At 56.7% G+C, this 19,703-nt stretch overlaps 1 protein-coding gene and 1 pseudogene across 3 annotated transcripts, besides 7 other annotated features; one reads left to right on the top strand and one right to left on the bottom strand.

Moving 5' to 3' along the window:
- Positions 1 to 718: 718 nt before the first annotated feature.
- On the top strand, positions 719 to 13,126 carry DNM1P35 (dynamin 1 pseudogene 35; annotated as a pseudogene). The gene is made up of 5 exons (NR_024595.3): positions 719 to 888; positions 1,621 to 1,860; positions 2,204 to 2,409; positions 8,644 to 8,829; positions 10,362 to 13,126. The product of NR_024595.3 is annotated as a dynamin 1 pseudogene 35 (transcript).
- Positions 1,480 to 1,759: an enhancer, noted in NCBI's record as "active region_9864". NCBI's record gives its function as "activates an Ori minimal core promoter by ATAC-STARR-seq in GM12878 lymphoblastoid cells {active_cell/tissue: GM12878}" and the evidence as "EXISTENCE:reporter gene assay evidence [ECO:0000049][PMID:35858748]".
- Positions 1,830 to 2,169: a silencer, noted in NCBI's record as "silent region_6681". NCBI's record gives its function as "represses an Ori minimal core promoter by ATAC-STARR-seq in GM12878 lymphoblastoid cells {active_cell/tissue: GM12878}" and the evidence as "EXISTENCE:reporter gene assay evidence [ECO:0000049][PMID:35858748]".
- Positions 2,200 to 2,459: a silencer, noted in NCBI's record as "silent region_6680". NCBI's record gives its function as "represses an Ori minimal core promoter by ATAC-STARR-seq in GM12878 lymphoblastoid cells {active_cell/tissue: GM12878}" and the evidence as "EXISTENCE:reporter gene assay evidence [ECO:0000049][PMID:35858748]".
- Positions 4,321 to 4,841: an enhancer, noted in NCBI's record as "H3K4me1 hESC enhancer chr15:76028296-76028816 (GRCh37/hg19 assembly coordinates)". NCBI's record gives its function as "activates a minimal SCP1, AML or CMV promoter by ChIP-STARR-seq in naive H9 embryonic stem cells {active_cell/tissue: H9 hESC(naive)}" and the evidence as "EXISTENCE:reporter gene assay evidence [ECO:0000049][PMID:30033119]".
- Positions 8,534 to 9,465: an enhancer, noted in NCBI's record as "H3K4me1 hESC enhancer chr15:76023672-76024603 (GRCh37/hg19 assembly coordinates)". NCBI's record gives its function as "activates a minimal SCP1, AML or CMV promoter by ChIP-STARR-seq in naive H9 embryonic stem cells {active_cell/tissue: H9 hESC(naive)}" and the evidence as "EXISTENCE:reporter gene assay evidence [ECO:0000049][PMID:30033119]".
- Positions 12,976 to 13,476: an enhancer, noted in NCBI's record as "H3K4me1 hESC enhancer chr15:76019661-76020161 (GRCh37/hg19 assembly coordinates)". NCBI's record gives its function as "activates a minimal SCP1, AML or CMV promoter by ChIP-STARR-seq in naive H9 embryonic stem cells {active_cell/tissue: H9 hESC(naive)}" and the evidence as "EXISTENCE:reporter gene assay evidence [ECO:0000049][PMID:30033119]".
- On the bottom strand, positions 13,108 to 16,755 carry CIMAP1C (ciliary microtubule associated protein 1C). Of its 2 annotated transcripts, none has more exons than XM_006720414.4 (4): positions 16,479 to 16,755; positions 15,527 to 15,688; positions 14,625 to 14,738; positions 13,108 to 13,737 (listed from the first exon to the last, which is right to left on the bottom strand). In XM_006720414.4, the coding sequence occupies exons 1-4, from the start codon at positions 16,594 to 16,596 to the stop codon at positions 13,256 to 13,258; spliced, it is 876 nt and encodes a 291-aa protein (XP_006720477.1). In that variant the 5' UTR covers positions 16,597 to 16,755; the 3' UTR covers positions 13,108 to 13,255. The 2 variants fall into 2 exon arrangements, with proteins under 2 accessions (XP_006720477.1, NP_787077.1); NM_175881.5 differs by having other exon boundaries at positions 15,578 to 15,688.
- Positions 16,516 to 16,685: an enhancer, noted in NCBI's record as "active region_9863". NCBI's record gives its function as "activates an Ori minimal core promoter by ATAC-STARR-seq in GM12878 lymphoblastoid cells {active_cell/tissue: GM12878}" and the evidence as "EXISTENCE:reporter gene assay evidence [ECO:0000049][PMID:35858748]".

Genomic DNA, 19,703 nt, shown 5'->3' with positions numbered 1-19,703 from the left:
CCCTTGTTTGGCTCAGAAATAACCAGGAATCCTCCCCACTACCTACTCTGGGGTGAGATCAGAGTTAAGTCTTCTGGTCCTCCCATCCTTCTCCAGTGGCAGTTTTGTGTCTCCGTCTCTGCCACAGATGGCATTTCTTGCATGCCCTTTCTATGATGGTGGTTTCCTGTGACTGCCTTCTCTTTTCTCCCCTATTTCACTGTGGCAATGTCTAGAGGAGACTTAGAGTTGGGGTGCAGTGTCCCAGGTTCACTCAACCTCTCCCCTTTTCCTCTCTGTGTGTGTCTACTTTGGCTGTGCTCCCTGGTGCCAGCAGTGGTGGCAGTGTTGGTGTGTGGGCCTCCCAGGACAAGAAGAAAGTGAGTGTGACCCTCTCTTGCTTCCTGCCAGGCGTCTGCAGCCTGGCACCAGCTCTGGCCAGGTCTTTAAGCAAAGGATCTGCAGATGTTTTTTTCTCATTTCTGGTTTGGAAAATTGAGGCAAATTCTGGGCAGTAGAGTCAGAACCAAGATGAGGCTGAATCAGGGGAGTCTGGGGTCCTAAGAGATACAGGGATGGGCAGAGACCTGAAACCTTTTAGAGCATGTGGAGAGCTGGGTGTCTGTTTAGGCCAGTTGCTTCTCTCTGTGCATCAATGTGCCAGGTACCCTTGCAGGGGATGCCTGGAGCCTGGCTACATGGCCTGGCCACCCTGATGCCCTTGTGTTCTTCATGACAGGCCAGCAAGACTGAGGGGAATGGCTCCGACAGCTTCATGCTCTCCATGGACCACAGCTGGAGTGGCAAGTGGAGACCATTCAGAACCTGGTGGACTCGTACATGGCCATTGTCAACAAGAACATGCAGGACCTCATGCCCAAGACCATCATCCACCTCATGATCAACAACGTGCATGCGTCGCCTCATGGGGGTAGAGGGGACCCAGGTGGCCATGTTGGCCTAGGGGAGATGCAGACCAGCCTTATGGGACCAGCCTCAGGAAGGGAGGCACAGTCCAGACCAGAGTTGTCCAATAGAAATATAATGTGGGATTATAGTGGTTCATGCTTGTAATCCCAGCACTTTGGGAGGCCAAGGTAGGAGGACGGCTTGAGCCCAGGAGTTCAAGACCAGCCTGGGCAACATAATGAGACCTCATCTCAACACAAAAATTTTAAAAAATAGCTGGGCTTGGTGGTGGCAAGTACATGTAGTCCTAGCTGCTCCACAGGCTGACGTTGGAGGATCACTTTGAGCCCAGGAGGTTGAGGCTTCAGTGAGCAGTGATCTCGCCCACTGTACTCCAGCCTGGCGACAAAGCGAGATCCTATCTCCAAAAATTAAAAACTGAGTAGACAGGTGTCCTGGTGGCATGATAGGTCCTCAGTCCCCTCCCAGAACTGTGACCTTGGACAGGTGACTTTTCCTCTGGACCTCAGTGTCCTCATCTGAGTGAGAAAAGGGCGGTGGGGAGGCGGATCTTCGAGTCTAAGCGGTGTAGAAGCCGCGTCTGAAAAGCCATACTCGCGGCTCCAAGTCCAGCGCACAGTCCCAACAGGGCCCGGCGGGGCAGCTATGGCGGCCAGGGCAGCACAAGCATCAATCAGGTCCCAGTCTCCTTCCCTCTTTGCCCGCTCTCAGACCAAGGAGTTCATCTTCTCGGAGCTGCTGGCCAACTTGTACTCGCGTGGGGAACAGAACACGCTGATGGGGGAGTCGGCAGAGCAGGCACAGGGGCGCAACGAGATGCGGCGCATGCACCACGTGCTGAGGGAGGCGCCCAGCATCATCGGTGACATCAAGACGACCATCGTCAGCACACCCACGGGGTCCTGTGGATGACTCCTGGCTGCAGGTGCAGAGCGTCCCGGTCGGACGCAGGTACCAGGGTCGGCCCCCACGGCCCCAAAGCCCCCCAGCCTGGGCCGCGGAAGAAGTGCCGGACCAGGCAGGGCGCGCCCCCATCCCGGGGTGGCGCCTACTTGAAGCGAGAGGCGGAGCTTAGAGAGGGCGGGGCTTGCCGTGGAGCGCGGGCTGCGGGGCGGGGTGGATCTGGGAGGTTGGCGCCGCTGGCGGCGGGGCTTAAGCTCCGGTGACCGCCTCGGGCCTTCAGGAAGGGGCTTGCATGCATGGGAGTGGCTGGCACTGGGCTGGGGCGGGGCCTTAGGGTGGGCGGGGCCGCTCATCGCTCCTCTTTCTGTTCCTGGCTCCCTTTCGCCCGCAGGTCGCCCAAGTCCAGCCCCACGACGCAGTGCCGACTCCCCGCCGTGCCCCCAGCCCGGCCCGGGTTGCGGAGCCCTGCTCCTGGGCCTCTGCCTGCTGCGTCCACCCTGGGGGAAGCGCCCGTCGTACCCTCCACACCGGGGGCTTCCCCTGACCCCTTAGGCCCTCCCCCTGCAGGTGCCCTCGCGCCCCTCCCGGGGTCCCCAGGTGAGTAGGGGCTGAATATGACAGGAGAGGCCGCCGGACGGGCGTGGCCGGGAGGGAAATGGGGCTGGATTCTAGAGCGTCGGACCTGGCCGCCAGAACTGGCCGTCTCCGTCCCGGGCACTCCGACCGTGGGACCGGAGCCCTGAGTGGCGGAGAGCTGGCGGAGCCTGCCCCCAAAGGAGCACTGAGTCCCGGAAGTGGTCTTTTTGTGGAGGGGGCTGTGGGGCTCGTCCCACCTGCCCCCTTCTTTCCAGCACTTGCATGGCGCTTCCCTCTATTTTCACTCTTGGCGGCCGCCCCACACGTTGCATTCCTCCTCGTTTCTTCTTCCCGCTGTCCTCCATCCTCCATTCCGTCAAACCCCTCTCCCAGCCCCTGGGGAGCCTACCTCAGGTCAGAGAGTCTGAACCCCGAGATGTTCTGGGTGTGTGGATTTCCTTCAGCTACCCTGATGTCCCCACTTCCAAGTCCTGACTCCTTTGAGCCATCCCAGGGGGTGTCTGGCCACTGGCCCACAGGAGCAGAGGCCAGGCTGTGACTGTGAGCATCAAGGTGTGTGATGTGTGTGTGGGTTTGCACACGAGTGTGAGTGGAAGAATGGCACCAGGCCTGGGCTAGGACAGAAGCAGCTGGGGAAGGAGCCTGGGGGGCATGGGCAATCTGATTTTTCCTCCACCCCCACCCCGCCCCCGCCCCCGCCCCCGCCCCAACCTACTGGGTCCAAACCAATGTGGTAGGGGTGGCTGCAGGGGCAGGGATGGGAGAGTCTGAAGCCTGCTTCACTCCCAAAGATTTCTAAGGAAAAGCGTTCTGCATCCTCTGGCTTGGCCTTGTTGACCCATGGCCTCTTTCAAGGACATTCACTCTGATTCCCAGTGTGCCGGATCCACTGGCCACGTTCTCTAAGGAAGAACAATAGCATCTGTTTTTGTCTCCAAATGACTGTAGGGTAGGGCTGTGGGTCCAGCGCCCATAAACCAAAATGAGGCAGGGATTGGGGCTTGCCCTATGATGCGCTGATGACCCACGGAGATGGGTAGAGGCAAGCAGCATAGCACTGGGCAAGAGCACTGGACTGGGAGTCCAGAGACGCTGCTTCACCCTGGGGCTTTAGGCAAGTCCCTTTCCCTCCCAGAGCCTCAGCATCCTTTCTATCAAATGATGACTCTCTGCCTTTCTCCCAGAGTGGCCGTGGGGATCAAGAGAGACAGTGGCCATAGGGATGCTGTGTTAACTGCAGATGTGGCTGTAGGAGCACTTTGCTAACTGCCAATGTGAGTTCAGACTCTTCAGGGTATTTGGCATCCAGGTCTGTGGTGAGGTGTGACATATGGGATGTAAGGTTTGATGCCTGCTCCGACTCCAGTCTTGCTAACACATGCGAAACATTTGGCAAATCATGACCCTTCCTTGGGGAAAAGAGCAGTCTAGGAGAGCTTCAAGGCAGCCTGGCTTCAACGCAGTCCGGGGCATGACTGAGATAGAATTATGTGGCGAGGAACTGGAGGGTATCTGGGTACAGAGCTGCAGTGTGGGCAGAGGTGTAGTGTGGGCCGCATCCAGGACAGCCACTGGCCAAAGCAGGGAACAGAGACGGAATGAGGAAGAGCTCTGTGGGGAGGGTGAGGCATAGGGTGGAAAACCTTCAAAGTCCGAAGAGTTTGACTTTTGGGGCTCAATGCTGCAGGCCGTAGGGAGCCATGGAAGGCTCTTAGGTGGGTCAGACTCTCTGACCTGAGGTAGAGAAATGACAGCTGGACATTAGCGAGCAAGCCCTGTCTCCATGAGCAGCACAGGTGGTCCTCTGAACACACCAGGCACAAGTGTGCAGGGAGCTGGTGCAAATGCCTCTGTGTGCAGGCGAGCTTCTGTGTTGTGACTCTGCCCACGTGTGTGGATCAGTGTGCTGAGTGGCTGCACACCCAGATCTGTGCTGCACGTGCCGGCCAGTGAGGGTGCTGGGCACTGCGAGGTGGCGGGGAAGGAGGCATGTTAGGGCACAGTCTCCTAAAGGGCTCTGTGAGTCCACATATGCTTCTGGAGGAAGGGGCCCTGCACACCACAGACAGGGAGTGTGCTTCCGTAAAAGGATCACTCAGCTGGGAGTCAGGCAGGCTGGCCACTAATCCCAGCGCTGTGTGACCTCAGGCAGGCCCTACACCTCTCTGGACCTTGGTTTCCTTGTCTGTAAAATGGAGGAAGGCTAGAATGGCTGGTAAATGCTCAGCTCTGTGAGCCATCTGAACCTGCTTTGTTTCACCAGTGAGGAATCACCCATAATGGGGGGAGACTAGAGCCACTCTAAACCTAAAGCAGGGTTAGATGGTACATGGAGCTGAGCATTTGCTATTTTAACTTTGTTTACTTTCATGGATATATTTCATGTGTATATTTTCACATATATGTGTATATGTATGTGTCTGAGCGTGTATGTGCATGGTATTTGACTAGTACATCAGACCCTGATTTCACAAATATGGCTAAAGACGAGGCTAAAACACACACTTAAATTTTAAAAGTAAGCTGATTTTTAAAAAACGCTAAGTAGAGTTCCAGTGGCATCTGAGTGTGGCAAAAGTCCTGATGAAAGGCGACAAATGGCTGCAGCCCTGGTCTGAGTGTCCCTATCCCCTTCCTGTCTAAGGGACAGTGGATTCGGGGCCCCGGCCTCCCTGGAATGAGAGATGCACAGACTGGGCCGTGATCTCCCACCGTGTCCTCACAGCCCCAAGACAGAATGCCATGCGGATTGGCAGGAGACCTCACTGTGGGGTTCTTGGAGCCAACCCTCCAGGCCATGTAGGGTCCAGCCCTACGGGACTTAGTGGGTGTTCTCCCCGTGTGCGGAGACGAGAGATTGTAATAAATAAAGACACAAGACAAAGAGATAAAGGGAAAACAGCTGGGCCCAGGGGACCACTACCATCAAGACGCGGAGACCGGTAGTGGCCCCAAACAGCTGCGCCCGCTGATATTTATTGCATGCAAGACAAGGGGGCAGGGTAAGGAGGGTGAATCTTCTAAGTGATTGACAAGGTGAAGCAAGTCACGTGATCACAGAACAGGGGGCCCTTCCCTCTTAGGTAGCCGAAGCAGGGAGAGAGAAGGCAGCATACGTCAGCGTTTTCTTCTATGCACTTATAAGAAAGATCAAAGACTTTAAGACTTTCACTATTCCTTCTACCACTGTCTACTACAAACTTCAAAGAGGAACCAGGAGTACAGGAGGAACATGAAAGTGGACAAGGAGCGTGACCATTGAAGCACAGCACCACAGGGAGGGGTTTAGGCCTCCGGATGACTGCGGGCAGGCCTGGATACTATCCAGCCTCCCACAAGAAGCTGGTGGAGCAGAGTGTTCCCTGACTCCTCCAAGGAAAGGGAGACTCCCTTTCGCGGTCTGCTAAGTAACGGGTGCCTTCCCAGACACTGGCGTTACCACTTGACCAAGGAGCCCTCAAGCGGACCTTATGCGGGCATGACAGGGCTCACCTCTTGCCTTCTACATCACTTCTCACAATGTCCCTTCAGCACCTGACCCTATACCCGCAGGTTATTCCTAGGTTATATTAGTAATTAAAAGCTAATGATTAATAATGTTTATAGTAATGATTGGTAATTGTCTATGATCATCTCTATATCTAATTTGTATTATGACTATTCTTATTCTAATTATTTTCTTTATTATATTGAAACAGTTTGTGCCTTCAGTCTCTTGCCCCAGCACCTGAGTAATCCTCCACCCACAGGGCCACAGGCCCCATGAGATCTCTGAGGCCACAGAGTGTGTCCACACACGTGACCTCCAGGGTGATTCGGGCCAGAGCACAGGAATGGCCCAGGCAGAGGTGGCCTGGGCGTGGGCAGAGATGGCTCGGGCTGGGCCTGAGGCATCCAGGGGCTCAGCATCGCATCTCCTCAGGGGGGCCATCTGAGACTGCTGGGCCAGTGAAGAGGCTTCTCCCGGGTACCCACCTGTCCTGTCCAAGAGAGAACAGCCAGCCCCACAGCCCCAAATGTCTCTGTCCTCCAAGAGGCCAGATGTGAATCACAGGAATTTACAGCCCAGCCTGGCATGGGATTTATGAGTCTGCCTCCAGCCAGGGCTGGTGGGGAGTGGCCACTGTCAGCCCCCCATTGCCGCTGATGGATGAGGCTGTTTCCTGTAAGACAAACTCCCTCTGTGGCAGGCAGTGGAGGGAGACACATCCAGGCCCTAGGGCCAACCCCATACCTGTCCCAGAGCCGGATCCCTCGTGCCCTCACAGTCCATGCCTCCCCTTGATCCCCAGCCCTACACAGTGACACGCAAGCAGGAGGTGCACCCAAGGGGCCCAGCTCTTAGCCAGAGCTCTGCCTCCCACACTGCCATCTGCACCCCCTCCCCATGACCTTTAAAACCTTTCCATCCCAGGGCCCAAGCCTTGGGACCAGCCCAAGATGGGATATACCACACTCAAAGCCAGAATGGATCTCTGAGGTAGCCCAGAACACACACACGCACGCACGCACGCATATATACACACACATGCATGCATGCACATACACAGTACACAGATGAGAAACCAGGGTCCAGAGAGGAATGGGCCTTGCCCAAAGTCACCCAGCAGCACAGTGGTGAAGCTGAGACCCCAGCCCACAAGCCCCCTGGACTGGTCATTTCAGTGTCCGGTCACAGTGGACTGTCATATGGCCACAGGGGTAGTTTTCACCTCCAAATGCAGGTGCCTCTCCAGAGAACAGACAGACCTGGGTTTGAGTCCATGCCCCACCACTCTGTGTGTAAAGGTCATAAACTCTCTGTGCCCGTTCCCTCACCTGAAAAATGGGGATCAAAATAACCCCAACTTACCAAGGTTCTTACGAGGTTCAAGTGAGAGGATGCAGGTAGAGCCGCAGGACAGAGTGGGCCCCTGGCACATGCTCCCTGAGTGGTAACAATGGTTCTCCACCATCTCTCGTGTCTCAAGGGGCCCCGCTGCCTGATTTGCTGCGGGCAGGAGGACAGTCATGGTTGGGTGGGGCAGGAGGAGCAAGGAGAGTTTGAGTGTGGGACTGCAGGGCAGGAGTGAGGCCACTTCCTACTGGAGGAGACCCTGGAAGTCTCCCTGGAGGTGGTGGCATCAAGCAGAGGATGTAGAACTCTGTTTCTCTTGCTCTGAAGCTGACTGGGGGCTTCTTGATTGCCACAGGGATGGAGGGAAGCACCCTACCCTGAAAGCCTAGCCCAAGCTTCTGCCCTGGATGACCTGAGGAGGAGTCCCTCCTTTCTCTGGGCATCAGCAAAATGGGGCCGGGAGGACTAGACAACACTCCCTAGAGGCACCTTTCTGCTCTGGCCTTGTTGCAAGCTGAAGAAGGTCCTCCAGACCCACCCTCTGCAGTACCCAATTATTGCCACTGGGCAGCAGCAGGGAGTAAATCTGCGGTCCGGCCTCCTTTCCCTGCCGGCCAGTCCCTCTCCCAGCATCCGGTGGTCTTTGCTCCTCCGTCCCCCCGCCAACTCGCCAGAGAGCCAGAGCTGAGCGTCCTTCACATCCAGACATCTGATGCTCCCCTCAGCCCTGCAGAGAGCCAGCATGCTGGCTGCTTTTCAGATGGGGAAACTGATGGCCAAGAGGTGAGGACTTGCTCAAGGTCACGCAAGAGCCAAGTGTGCCCACAGCGGAGGTGGTGTGAAAGGAGACTGCGGTCACACGGACCTGGCTGGGATCCTGGTCTCCTCACCTCCAGCTGTGTGTCATCGGGCAGGTCACCCACCCTCTCTGAGCCTCAATTGATATAAGTGCTGAACACATGAAGCCACCGCTTTGTTTCCAATAGAGTTTATGCCCCAAGAGTGCAAAGACATGTCTGTCACTCACCTCAGCACCCCCAGAGCCTGGCGCAGGGTGGGATTCGGAGAATAGCGCCTGCCTCCCAGGGCCTGCCTGGCACTCAGCAGACACTGTGTCTCCTCAAACCGCAACCCCCCAACCTGGCCCCAGCCCTGGATCAGCCTCACCTCGCCTCATTCCCCTCCCATCAGTCTTTCCTGCAGGACACCCACCCACCCGGCCTTGAGGGGGGGCTCCTGCTCACCTCCCCACCCCATCCCTCTCGGCCCCCTTTCTCTGTCCTGGCCTCTCCCTCATGTCGCTCTCTCCTGCCGAGCCCCCACTTGGCTCTACGCTGTTTACAAGAGAATGATGACAGTTTTTATTTCTCTGTTTTATCTCCCTTCCTCCCCTGAAGGGAAACGTGCTTCCAATCTTCCAGGAAAAATTGAAGGCTCCGGATGAGAAAAAGCAAACAAAGGACAGTGGGACCATGGGCGTCCCCACCCCCACCACCCGCAGGCCCCACACTCAAACCAGCGCCCGTGCCCACGCCCATGCAGCCGTCCTCCGCCAGGCCCCAAGAACGGCTGTTACTTTGGGGGTAATTGAAAATGTCGATCATTATTCTAGAGCATAAGTAGGTCACAGGGACACAGGGAGCGAGAGAGAGAGAGAGAGAGAGAGAGGAAACCTGGTCATGGGAGAGGATCTGGGGGAGAGAAAGGCCAGCTGGGAGGATGTGGGCGTGGAGAGGAAGAGGGAGCAGAAGGAACGGGAGGGCGGGCAACTCTCCACCAGTGAGCAGGGCCACGGACTCAGGGGGATGTGTCCTCCCACCAGCCCCCCACCACACCCCGAAAGGAGCCGGGTGGCAGGAGCTCCTGTTTAGTCCTCCCGTACCTGAGCAGCCCCGAGAGTGGGTGTCTGTGAGTGCTGGGAGCAGGAGTGGGGACCTGGCTTGTCTTCATGGGGGTGCCCTCTCACGACCACGTGCACAGCGCCCAGAGGCCAGGTCCCAGGCTGGCGGGCTGAGAGCAGCCAGCGGTCCCCTCTCCTGGGGGAATGCAGGGACTCTCCTGACCTCCCTCCCATCACCCATCCCACCTCTCTCTGCATGTCGGGACATCTCATGGTTTGTGGATTTACTACTCCAGGGCAGTGAGGGGCGCCAGTGAGCCTGGGTGGGCACGTATCTGTGCATGAGATGAGATGCCTGGGAGAGAGGGATGGGGCAGGGTGTTTGAAGGCAGTGGTGGTACCAGGTGTGTGTGTGTAGAGTAAGGTGTGGGTCTGTGCATTTGTGTGTGTGTCTTGCCCCACGTGTGTGCGGTAAGGGACGTGTGTGTGCACAGCCCCTACCTGTGTGCCTCCAGATGGTGTGTCCATGTGTCCCTGCAGGCAGGGCCCCTCTTCTGCTCCTGGCCCAGGGCCACCATCCCCCCAGGTCCTGGGAACCTGAGTGGTGATTGGCCTTGGGGTTCCCTCCAGCAACAGTGGAACAACAGACCAGCCCCCACCCCAGCCAGTGTCCAAGAGGCTCGTGGGACTGTGATGTCACCACCAAGCCCTGGCTGAGGTAACCCAACATGGAGCCAGGCCTGTCTTGCCCCCTAGAGAGAAGAGAGGAACCTCAGGTGGGTCTCCTGCCAGGCACCGAGCCTCATCCACCCTCCAACATCTGCTCGTGGTGGGAGAGGGTGAATTCCCACCCTCTCACGGACACAGCCTCAGACCTCCTGGAGGCCAGGGCTCCAGGTGAAGACCAAGTCTTCGTACCCCCGGACCCAGCCAGAGCCTGGCACAGGGCAGGAGCTTAGCAAATGTTTGTTGAATGAATGAATGCACGGATGGGGGCTTTGTGTGTGATCAAGTGCCAGGCTCCGGAGTCTAGTGACCTGAAGATACAGATTCAAGTCCTACAAGGATCAAACCAGGGCTTCCTGCAAGGTCAAGCGAGAACCCCCTGAGTTGTTCAGAAGGGGCCACGCAGCAGTCGGCCAGACCTGGGAGGCCGTGCCTGACCTTCTGCAAGTCACCTCTCTGGGGGCACTACCACAGGAAAGGCAATGTCAAGTGATGGGACTGCTTCATCCAAAGGTCAATCCCAAGCTAAATGACCCTGTCATTTTGCAGGCCGAGGCACAAGGGAGGCCCCATTCATCTTCCCTGGAGTCGGCATCCCTTTGATTGCGGGGCCACCTCTCATCTGAACATCTTCACCCCCCCCCAATATTCCTTCTGAACCCTCCATCCTCCTTCTCCCCTTCTCTTGGGACCATAAACCTACCCCAAGAGTGAGTCCTAGCTCCAGGGCCAGCTCCCAATCCTGCCTCTGTCTGGTGGCAGCTGGGGCCAGGCTGAAGGTCTGTCCTAGACTGAGCCATAAAGGCAAAAATAATACTTACTCCTAATAGAAGTAAAGCACTTCACCCTAGATGAGCCCTGGTCCTGGTCACACACAGAACCTAGACCTTTATTTAGAGATGGACCATTAATTTGTCATGTGGGCTAGGCATGGTGGCTCAAACCTGTAATCCCACTTTGGGAGGCCCAAGCAGGAGGATCACTTGAGGCCATGAGTTCGAGACCAGCCTAGGCAACATAACAAGACCACGTCTCTACAAAAAGATTTAAAAATTAACCAGGTTTGGTGGCATGTGCCTGTAGTCCCAGCTACTGCAGTGAACCAAGATTGTGCCACTGCACTCCAGCCTGGGCAACGGAGCAAGATCCTGTCACAAAAAAAAATTATCACGTGGCCGAAGTTATTTCCAGGCTCCGAGCGCCAGCTTCCTCATCTTTCCAACAGAGGGCCTTCACCTGGGCTAAGTGTTAAATCAGAAAGCCCCTATTCAGAGGTTGGCCTGCAGTTCCCTGACCTGGTAACACTGGGGAGCATTGGCTGCTGTCACCTGCCAGCTCCCACCCCCACCCAACACTTACACACCAAGCATCACTAATTTTTGCAGCTGCCATGATAAATGGCACTGTTGGCAAAATGACATCTTTCTAATCTGCCACAAGACAGACGGGTCCCCGAGCTCCCACAGCCTCCCAAGAGCCAGCCCAGGCCATCCTTGTTGAGAGGATGGGCAGATGCAAAGCCCAGGGCCTGGGGGCGGGTGGGATGGAGAGGAGACCTCAGGGCCCAGAATCAAGGACATCCCTAGTGGGGTTTACCACAGGCTCTTTTCTAAATATTTAGTTGTATGTGTGCTTTTAAAAATATTCCAAAGAATATTATATGCTCTGTTCCTTTCTGACCAAAGTTAGGGCTTCAATTCAATTTTCTTTTCTTTTCTTTCTTTTTTTTAGACAGGGTCTTGCTGTATCGCCCAAGCTGGAGTGCAGTGGCACAATCACAGCTCACTGCAGCCTTGACCTCCTGGGCTCAAGCGATCCCCCCACCTCAGCCACCTGAGTAGCTGGGTCTATAGGCGCCAGCTACCATGCCTGGCTAATCTTTGTATTTTATTTTGTAGACACGGGGTCTCGCCATGTTGTCCAGGCTGGTCTTGAACTCTTGACCTCAAATGATCTGCTTGCCTTGCTCTCCCAAAATGCTGGGATTTCAGGCTTGGGCCACTGCACCCAGCCTCAATTTTCACTTTAAATTAAAACCTGGATATTGTTCAGGTTTATAAGGATGAACCATTAGACACTGGTTCTGAGGCGGTGCTCTCTTCCTGTCACCCTCTGCTCTGCGGAACAGTCTGCCTCTGCCTGAGCCATTAGGTCTGGGGGCTTTCTCACCCCCCTCCTCCCTCCCACTCCCTCCATGGCTCCCACCCTCCCACCCAGCCTCTTTGCTGACCTCAGCCGCATCCCCTCCATGCCTCACACTGGCCTGGGACTGCCAGGTTCCTGTGTCCAGGAGTAGAGGTGAATTGGGGCTCTGGATGCCAAGAACAGAGGAAGGACAAATGCCAGCCCCAGAGACCCTCACCTCCTCAAGACCAACAGGAGCTGGCGCCTGTCCGCCCAGCAGCAGCAAAGCCAGAGCGGGTGCCAGCCAGGGTGGGTAGGCACAGGCCTGGGCTTGAAGATTGAGACAGCGCTGCCCCCTCCTGGCTAATTCACGGCTGCTCCTCTGACAGGCACTGCCAGGCTAAGCTGTTGAGGTTGGGGACATAGTGAGTGACCCCAAAAACAGCATGTGACAAGCTGACCTTCCCTGCAGTCTGCCCAGCTGGGAGCTGCCTCCCACTCTGCCCATCCTGTCCGAGCTTCTCCCAAAGCATCTTCCGGCCCTCACACCTTCAGGGCAAAGCCCGAGGCCCCTCCCGGCTGCCCACAATGTGGCCCCGGGTAGCAGCCTCGCCCCCTGCACCCCAGGCCCCTGCTGCTCTGTGCCTCCCCAGTTCCCTGTCACTGCACCTGCATGCTTTGCTCTCACCTTGACCTCCACCTTCGCCCTCCCCAGCAGTCTCCTCTTGTCCTCTTAGGTCCCTCCCCGAGGAAACTCCTCTCCCAACTCCCAACCAGAGGGACTCCGCTCCTCTGCCTGCACCCCGACCTGCCCTGCCCCTGTCTCGGGGACTGCACACTGTCAGCACAGTCCCACAGTTCTGGAACTTGGGAGAACCTAGACCTCTTCCAAGCCTACCCTGTGCACTGTCTAAAGGGCAATCCTGAGCCCAGAGAGGGGCAGGAGCTGCACAAGGCCACACAGCCTGTAATGGCAGTTAGGACTGGAATGCAGCTCTCCCGAGTCTCTGCCTGGGGCTCCTTGGAGGACAGACACATGGCTTCCCCACCTGGTGAACCAGAATGGAACTCTTCAAGGACAGGGACTGTATCATTCCTTCCAGTGTCCCCAGCCCCTCACCCAGAGCAGGACCCACAGGAAGCAACTGTGAACAGAAAAGGAAAAAACAAATACATGAAAATGTATCTCTAATGTCTTCTGTGTGCCGGACACTCAGCAGGTACCGGCTCTGCTACTAGAAATCTTGGTCAAATTGCTCAATTTGGTGTAGAAAAATAATTTCTGGGGATGAGGGGCAGTGAGTGCCCCAAGAGGGGCCTCAGTCACGAATGTCGATGACCAGTGGGCACAGGTGGAGTGAGTGCTTGATGCCCATGGTGAAAGCAGGGATGTGGGGCTTGTGCACAGTGACCTGCTGGACCTCGTGGGAGCCGGGGCCAGGCCGTGGCGTGAGGTCCAGAGGGTAGGCGAAGCGCTTGGCCATGCTGTAAGTAGGGCTGCGGTTCTGATAGATGGATGGCTCAGGTCGGGCGTACGTGGTAGGTCCAGGGCCTCCTGCCACATCCTCCTTGTAGAACCAGTTCTTGTCCCTGGAGGCCAGACTGTAGCAGGGAGCAGCTCGGCTGACAGGGGTGTTGGGCCCCAGCAAGAGTGGCATCTGGTACTGGTTGGGAGCCGGGTTGAGGTCCATCACTCTGTATGGGCGCCGGTAGCCAAACGTGTACTGGGGAGCCCTGCGTTCCCCCGGTGGGTGGATCTTCTCAAAGTAGTACTGGCAGGATGCGAGGGTGGGGTTCAGGCCTGAAAGGGAGTGGCGGGAAGGGAGGGCTCTCAGAGCAGGGAACAGACCTCATTCTCTGCTAGCCAACTGATGGTCCTGGTTATCCACTGTGACCTCAGGCTGACCACCTCAGCAGCAGGGCAGGGACATCCAAATGGTCACTTAGGCCGGACGCGGTGGCTCACACCTGCAATCCCAGCACTTTGGGAGGCTAAGGCAGGCAGATCACAAGATCAGGAGTTCGAGACCAGCCTGACCAACATGGTGAAACCCCATCTCTACTAAAAATACAAAAATTAGCTGGGCGTGGTGGCGTGCACCTGTAATCCCAGCTATTCAGAAGGCTGAGGCAGGAGAATCACTCCAACCCAGGAGGTGGAGGTTGCAGTGAGCCGAGATCACGCCACTGCACTCCAGCCTGGGCAACAGAGCGAGACTCGATCTAAATAAATAAATAATAAATAAATAAGATGGTCACTTAGGCCATCCTGACATCAGGATGGCAACACAGTGGTCATCATGTAAAAAACCATAATGTCATCATAACATTCCCCTTGGATTACCCCCAGTTGCTACAGTGTCAGCATCCAGACATTGTCCCTCTGACAGCGACACAGAAACATTCTGAGATCACTACAGTCTGTGAGCTCGTTCGCATGACAATATTGCATCCACAACAGGAGCTCCATGTCATCATAACGTCACCTGGTGACATGCTGCATGTCATAACATTGACTTCAAGACATGGTGATGTCAGCATTGCAATGTCGGTGTCTTGCAGGGAGATACCGGCATCCAGACATTTCCAAGGAGGAAGTCTTGACCCTTTGCCCCTGCCCAGGTCCTAAGGGTGCACCCCACCCCCCAACCTCCCAACCCCCAACATCTGTCCATAACCCCATCTTACGCAGGTTGGAGATGCGCTCCTCCATGGGGACCTGCGGGCAGCTGGACATTCCAAACCGAGTTATTTTGGGATCCAAGAGATAGCAAGGCCCAGGGCTGCTGTGGCACACCATCCCTGCAGGGCAACCAAGGAGAGGGCCTGGTCAGCCCCAAAGGCTGCCCCACTGAGCACCTGGCCTGCCTCCAGGCAAGATCTCCCTCCCACTTCAGATTCTGTGGCTCCTGGGTGTTTGGGGACCCTTGATTTCCTCATCTGTAAAATGGGACTTTTAACACATGACCTGGTATTTTCAAGAACTTGCTCAGAGGAACAGTAAAATAACAGCTGCCCAGCAGCTTGGGCAGCCACCCACCCAATCAGGGGTTGGGGCCAACGGGGAGTAATAGCCCTGTGGCTGCTGTGGGCATTCAGCAAAGGCCCAGCCAGGCCAGGGGCTTACCTTGCTGAGGTGGGTATTCTCCCCAGGGAAAGGCCTGACAGGCACCCCAGATCTCAGACCCCCGGGTGCACGCCACCACACCCTGCCCAGCAGCATAGGTCATCTGTGGCCTCTGCTTCTGCCCTTCCAGTGGGTTCTAGGCCACCTGAGGAGCTCTGGGGGCCACCACTTCCCCACTGGCCTCCTAGCTGTTCCTGCCTGGCCACAATGGCAAGTGACCCTAGCAGAGCATGGCGACCGGAGCTGAAGGGCCCCAGCCAAAGGCCAGAAAAAGGAGACTCTGCTGTGCCAGCTGGACAGGGCCAGGATCCCCTATAGGCTCCCTTGGGAGAGGCGGCTAGGGGATGCCCATGGAGTTGCCCCACCCTCAATCCCCGCTGGCTTCCTCTGGACCCAGGGGGCCCCTTGAGTGTCTCAGATTCCCAGTGGCTACAGAGAATGGCTCCATGTCTCTCCCCTCAACCTCCAACAACAGCTCCAACCCCAGCCGGATGACTGGGGTGGCAACGCTCACGCTTCTCTGAGTGCCGGCTATGCAGGGTATAAGCTGGTGCCTTGAACATGGAGATGTCATGATCTATGTAGCCCGTGCAGGATGGCCGGAGGTACTTGGCGGGCCCCGGACCTGTAAGGATGGACAGGACAGCCCTCAGCCTGGGCCCACCAGGTCAGAGGCAGGGGAAGCCCCAGTACAGCGCACCATGGGAACATTGGGGGTATTTGTTCTTGCTGCTATCGCACTGCCACGAGCCCAGCATCCATCCAGCTGCTTCGTTTGGGGGAAGGCAGTATTTCCAGATAAAATGCAGTTTCCCTTGGACAGACAATGCATAATAAGAAGCTAATAGTTACAGTTAATTGAGAACTTATTCTGCTCCAGGTTCTCCACTAGGCATCCGACGTGGATTATTTCCGTTAAGCCTCTGAACAATGCTGTAAGGTAAATGCTCTTGTTTTTCCCATTTTACAGAATATTGAGGCTTAGAAATATCTACCCACATATCACAAACTAGTAGTGTGAAGATTCTAAGACCATCATCCAGTAGAACCCAAACCTTCAATCCCTGCACTAAACTACTCCCACTTAGAGCACTAGTCAGTCATTACCAACATAGTAAGAATTAGCGTCTGCTGTCCCTTGAGAGTAAAATTGAAGGGAAGTGAGGAAAGCTAAAGCTAGGACAAAGGCTCCTAGTCTTTTTCCAAAGCGGGCCTCACTGCAAGTCCCATGCTCCCCTCCTCCCCCACCCACTTGGACAATCCCAGCAGCCAACACTGCCTGTGAGGGTCAGCTTGGAGGCTCAGGTCTTCTGTAAGGCTTCAAGGAAGTTGGAAGGGGCTTTGCAGGAGGCAGGCTGGAAGGAGTCCTGGAGAGAGGGGAGGGGGCCCAAGCCCAGGGTGGGGATGGCTCTCACCTTTGATCTTGGCCATGATGACAGGGGTCTGCTTGACCTCCTGCCTTGAGGGCAATGGCTCCTTTTCTGGGTGCTGTGCAAAGTACACAGAGCTCCTGGTCCCCTTGGGCAGTTTCATGGCTGGGGCTGGGCAGGGAGCAGCAGCAGCTACAGCAGGGTCTAAACAGCAGTCAAGGGGCTAGAGTATCCCTGCCTGAGACCCCCCCATCCCCCACCCCAGACACGGAGGAAGCTGGGAAGGAAGACAGTTCTCCAGCTTGAGCAGCTAAGGCTGTCTGGGGCACAGTCAGCACAGGCCCCAGCAGGCTGGAGCTGGAGATGACGTCACGGCAGAGCTTGGACTGTGAAACTCGTAGTGTTTATTTCCCCTGGTTGCCATGGCGCCTGAACTGCGGCGTGGAAATTCTATGCTGGGAGCTTAGTTATGGAACCCTGACTATCCCACTGTCCCCCATCACCAACCAGGCCAAGTGGCCTGGGGGTCCCCAGGACCCTGGGTCAGGGAAGGGAAATGGAGAGATGGTGTTACGTATCAGCTAGCGCTTCACTCCCAGTGGGTGCCCTAAGGTTGGGGAAAGGAATGGAAAGGGTTGGTGGGTCACGGGTGAAGGGTTTGTGCAGCACACACAGCCCCCTGGGGGCTCTCTACCCCCTGCCTCTCCCACCTACCTCCCAGGCTCTGGACATGCCCTCTCTTCTGTCAAGTCTATTTTTCCCCTGGCAAAATATCAAGTCAATTATCACTAAGGTGTGACTGTCTGATAGCTCCTCCCCAGAATCCTATCCCAGGGTGTGGTATCTTTAGAGATCCATGTCTAGCTCAATGGATACAAAAAGGAGTGGGAAGCAAATAAAGGAGGACAGAGGGGTGGTGCTGAGCCTTCAAGGGGCTGCTTCCTGTGCCTGTGACCAAGAGCACTCCCTTGGCAGGGGAGCAGTTGGAGTTGGAGGGCGGTATGAGAGGACACATAGAAGGGGAGGGAAGGCAGCCAGCCCCATCTGACGGATGGATGAGCCCCAGGCCTGAAAACATGCTGGGAACCTCTTCATTCCTAAGAACCCAGGAGGCTTTTGGGGGCCTGGGGCCTGTCACCTCCACTGTTCGTAACAGACTAGGGATTTGACCTGAACCGGGTCAGCGGTGTCCATCTCAGGAACCAGATGACTGCTGGCTTTAGACAGGGGTGTCTGTCACCACCCCAGTACACAGTTAAGAAAACTGAGGCCCGGAAAGGAACAAGGACTTGCCCAAAGTCTCCTACTACATCAAAATAGCAGAGATGGAACCAGGACACAAAACCCAGGGCTCTCCTTGGATCATAGTCTCTGATTGAATAGAAACCAAGCCATGCTCTGAACGCATTCCAGTCAGCAGGCACAGCGAGGGCTCAGAGCAGCAGGTAGGACAGGCATGCAGGGTGTCCAGAAGCCCCTGAGGGACCACAGGCCTCAGAACAGAGGACAGGGGCCCAGTCCCCCCAGCAGCAGACCCTGTGTGCCCCCATATGCCCATGGGGCAAGTAAACCTCTGATTTCTGGGTAAGGGAGGGCTGAGCCAGGCTGGGGGGTGACCCAGCCTCACTGGCCTCAGGCCAGGGCCAATGCTATGTCCTCAGCCCCATCCGCGTCAGCTTTTCCTGTAGGAAGCTGCGAGCCCTGATGGTATCCCAGTGCTGAGAGGGGCCGGATCTGGGGCTGGGACCCCCACCTTCCTGGTGAGCGGGCAGTCTCCAAGTATTTCAGGCCCGGGGAGCCTCCTGCCTTCCTCCCTCACTGCTTCTGCCCCATCATCCTGGTGCACAGCTCTTCAGGAAACTAGGCCACCCCGCACCCCAGCAGGTCACAAGCCACTCCAATTTGTTCCAAATGCTTCCTTTCCTCCAGCTCTGATGGAGACCCAGCTCACCCCTGGAGGTGGCCCTCGGCCCTGTCCAAAGCTGGCTGCTCCGACATTCACATCCCTCATGCCTCAGAGTCCACAGTGCCGTGGGTCTCTGGCTGCCTTGGTCCCCAGACTGTGCCCTCCCCATCAAATGCCCCATTCCTCTGGGGCACTGGCATCCAGGTGTGTCCCCCTTCAGCTCCTCAGGGCTGCCCTGGGTCCCTACTCATAAACCTAGCAGCCGTGGCTCGAGGCCACCTCCACCCCACCCCAACTCCTGCCATGACCCTGATAGCTCAGGCCTCCCCAGGGACCACCACCAATGCCCTGGCCTCCCCGTTCCCAGACCTCCTCATGTGCAAACACCTCCACTCCACTCCCTCACAGGCCGGTCCCCCACTGCAATCCTGGGCTTCTCACCACCTCCCACAGCACTGACAGCCAGTCTCTCTGGGAGGCCATCCCCTGCCCCCCATCTCTGAGACCCCAGTGCTGACCCTGCACTCCCTGCACTTCTGCGTCATCCTTCAGGCCCCTCCAGCTTTCACCACCCTCCTCATCCAGCCCCTTTCCTGGAACATCCCAGCACTGCGTCCCCCAGGTCTGCGTTGTCCATCTGCATCAGGCAGCTAAAGCTGTCAGGACAGTCTCATGGCCAGAACCTTGGACCTGCCCTCCTCGCCACCTGCCACCCACCCCCACCTCTGGGCAGCCTGCCCTCCCCCTCTCCCCCACCCCCAGGGATCATCCCCTGCATGGCTCACTCTCCTCTGTTCGCCTGGCCATCCTTCCGGCCCCCCCATCCACCTGCCCCATCAGGCTGGGCTCTGACGAGTACCCCCCATCACAGCCTCAGAACCGCCATGTCTTTTGTCATCGGCTCCCACGTCCCGCCTGGGACACTGTGGATTGCACCCCTCTCCTTGGACTTGCGCCTCTCATCTGGCTCCCTCCTGTCACACTCTAGATATCCTAAGTCCCCTCTATCTATTCAAACTGTCCCCCAAGCCCACATGCTTCTCCGTCACTGCCTGTCCCTCTCTGCCCAGCCCACAGACCACCTTCCCCACAGAGGTGTTTTCCAGTCATCTCCATTCTCACCTCCCTCTCACACTTGACTCAGCCTGAGTTGGCTCCAGGCCCACTGCTCCACCCGAAAGAGGCTTAACTCGACGCCCGCCACCTGCAGGTGGCAGCTGCTTCCAAGGGACACTCTTCATCCTCTAATGCAATAAATGCCAGCCCTGCCTCACTCATGCTGCCCCTCCTGCTGGCTCCAGGACGCCCTCCTTCTTTCCTTCTGTCTCTCGGCTGCCCCTGCACTGGCTTTCTTCCTGGCTTCC

The sequence above is a fragment of the Homo sapiens genome, chromosome 15 (assembly GCF_000001405.40).
Source record: "Homo sapiens chromosome 15, GRCh38.p14 Primary Assembly".
Lineage (NCBI taxonomy): Eukaryota > Metazoa > Chordata > Mammalia > Primates > Hominidae > Homo > Homo sapiens.
The sequence above is the reverse complement of the archived record's forward strand: the minus strand, read 5'-3'. Positions and strand labels throughout refer to the sequence as shown.

What these genes read in the sequence shown, in the direction of transcription:
- CIMAP1C (XM_006720414.4), bottom strand. Translation starts at nt 16,596, where the DNA reads ATGAAACTGCCCAAGGGGACCAGGAGCTCTGTGTACTTTGCACAGCAC. An exon ending in GGTTGGAGCTGTTGTTGGAG is followed by an intron (nt 14,739 to 15,526) that starts GTTGAGGGGAGA and finishes GTTGCCCTGCAG; the next exon opens with GGATGGTGTGCCACAGCAGC. An exon ending in GGAGCGCATCTCCAACCTGC is followed by an intron (nt 13,738 to 14,624) that starts GTAAGATGGGGT and finishes ACTCCCTTTCAG; the next exon opens with GCCTGAACCCCACCCTCGCA.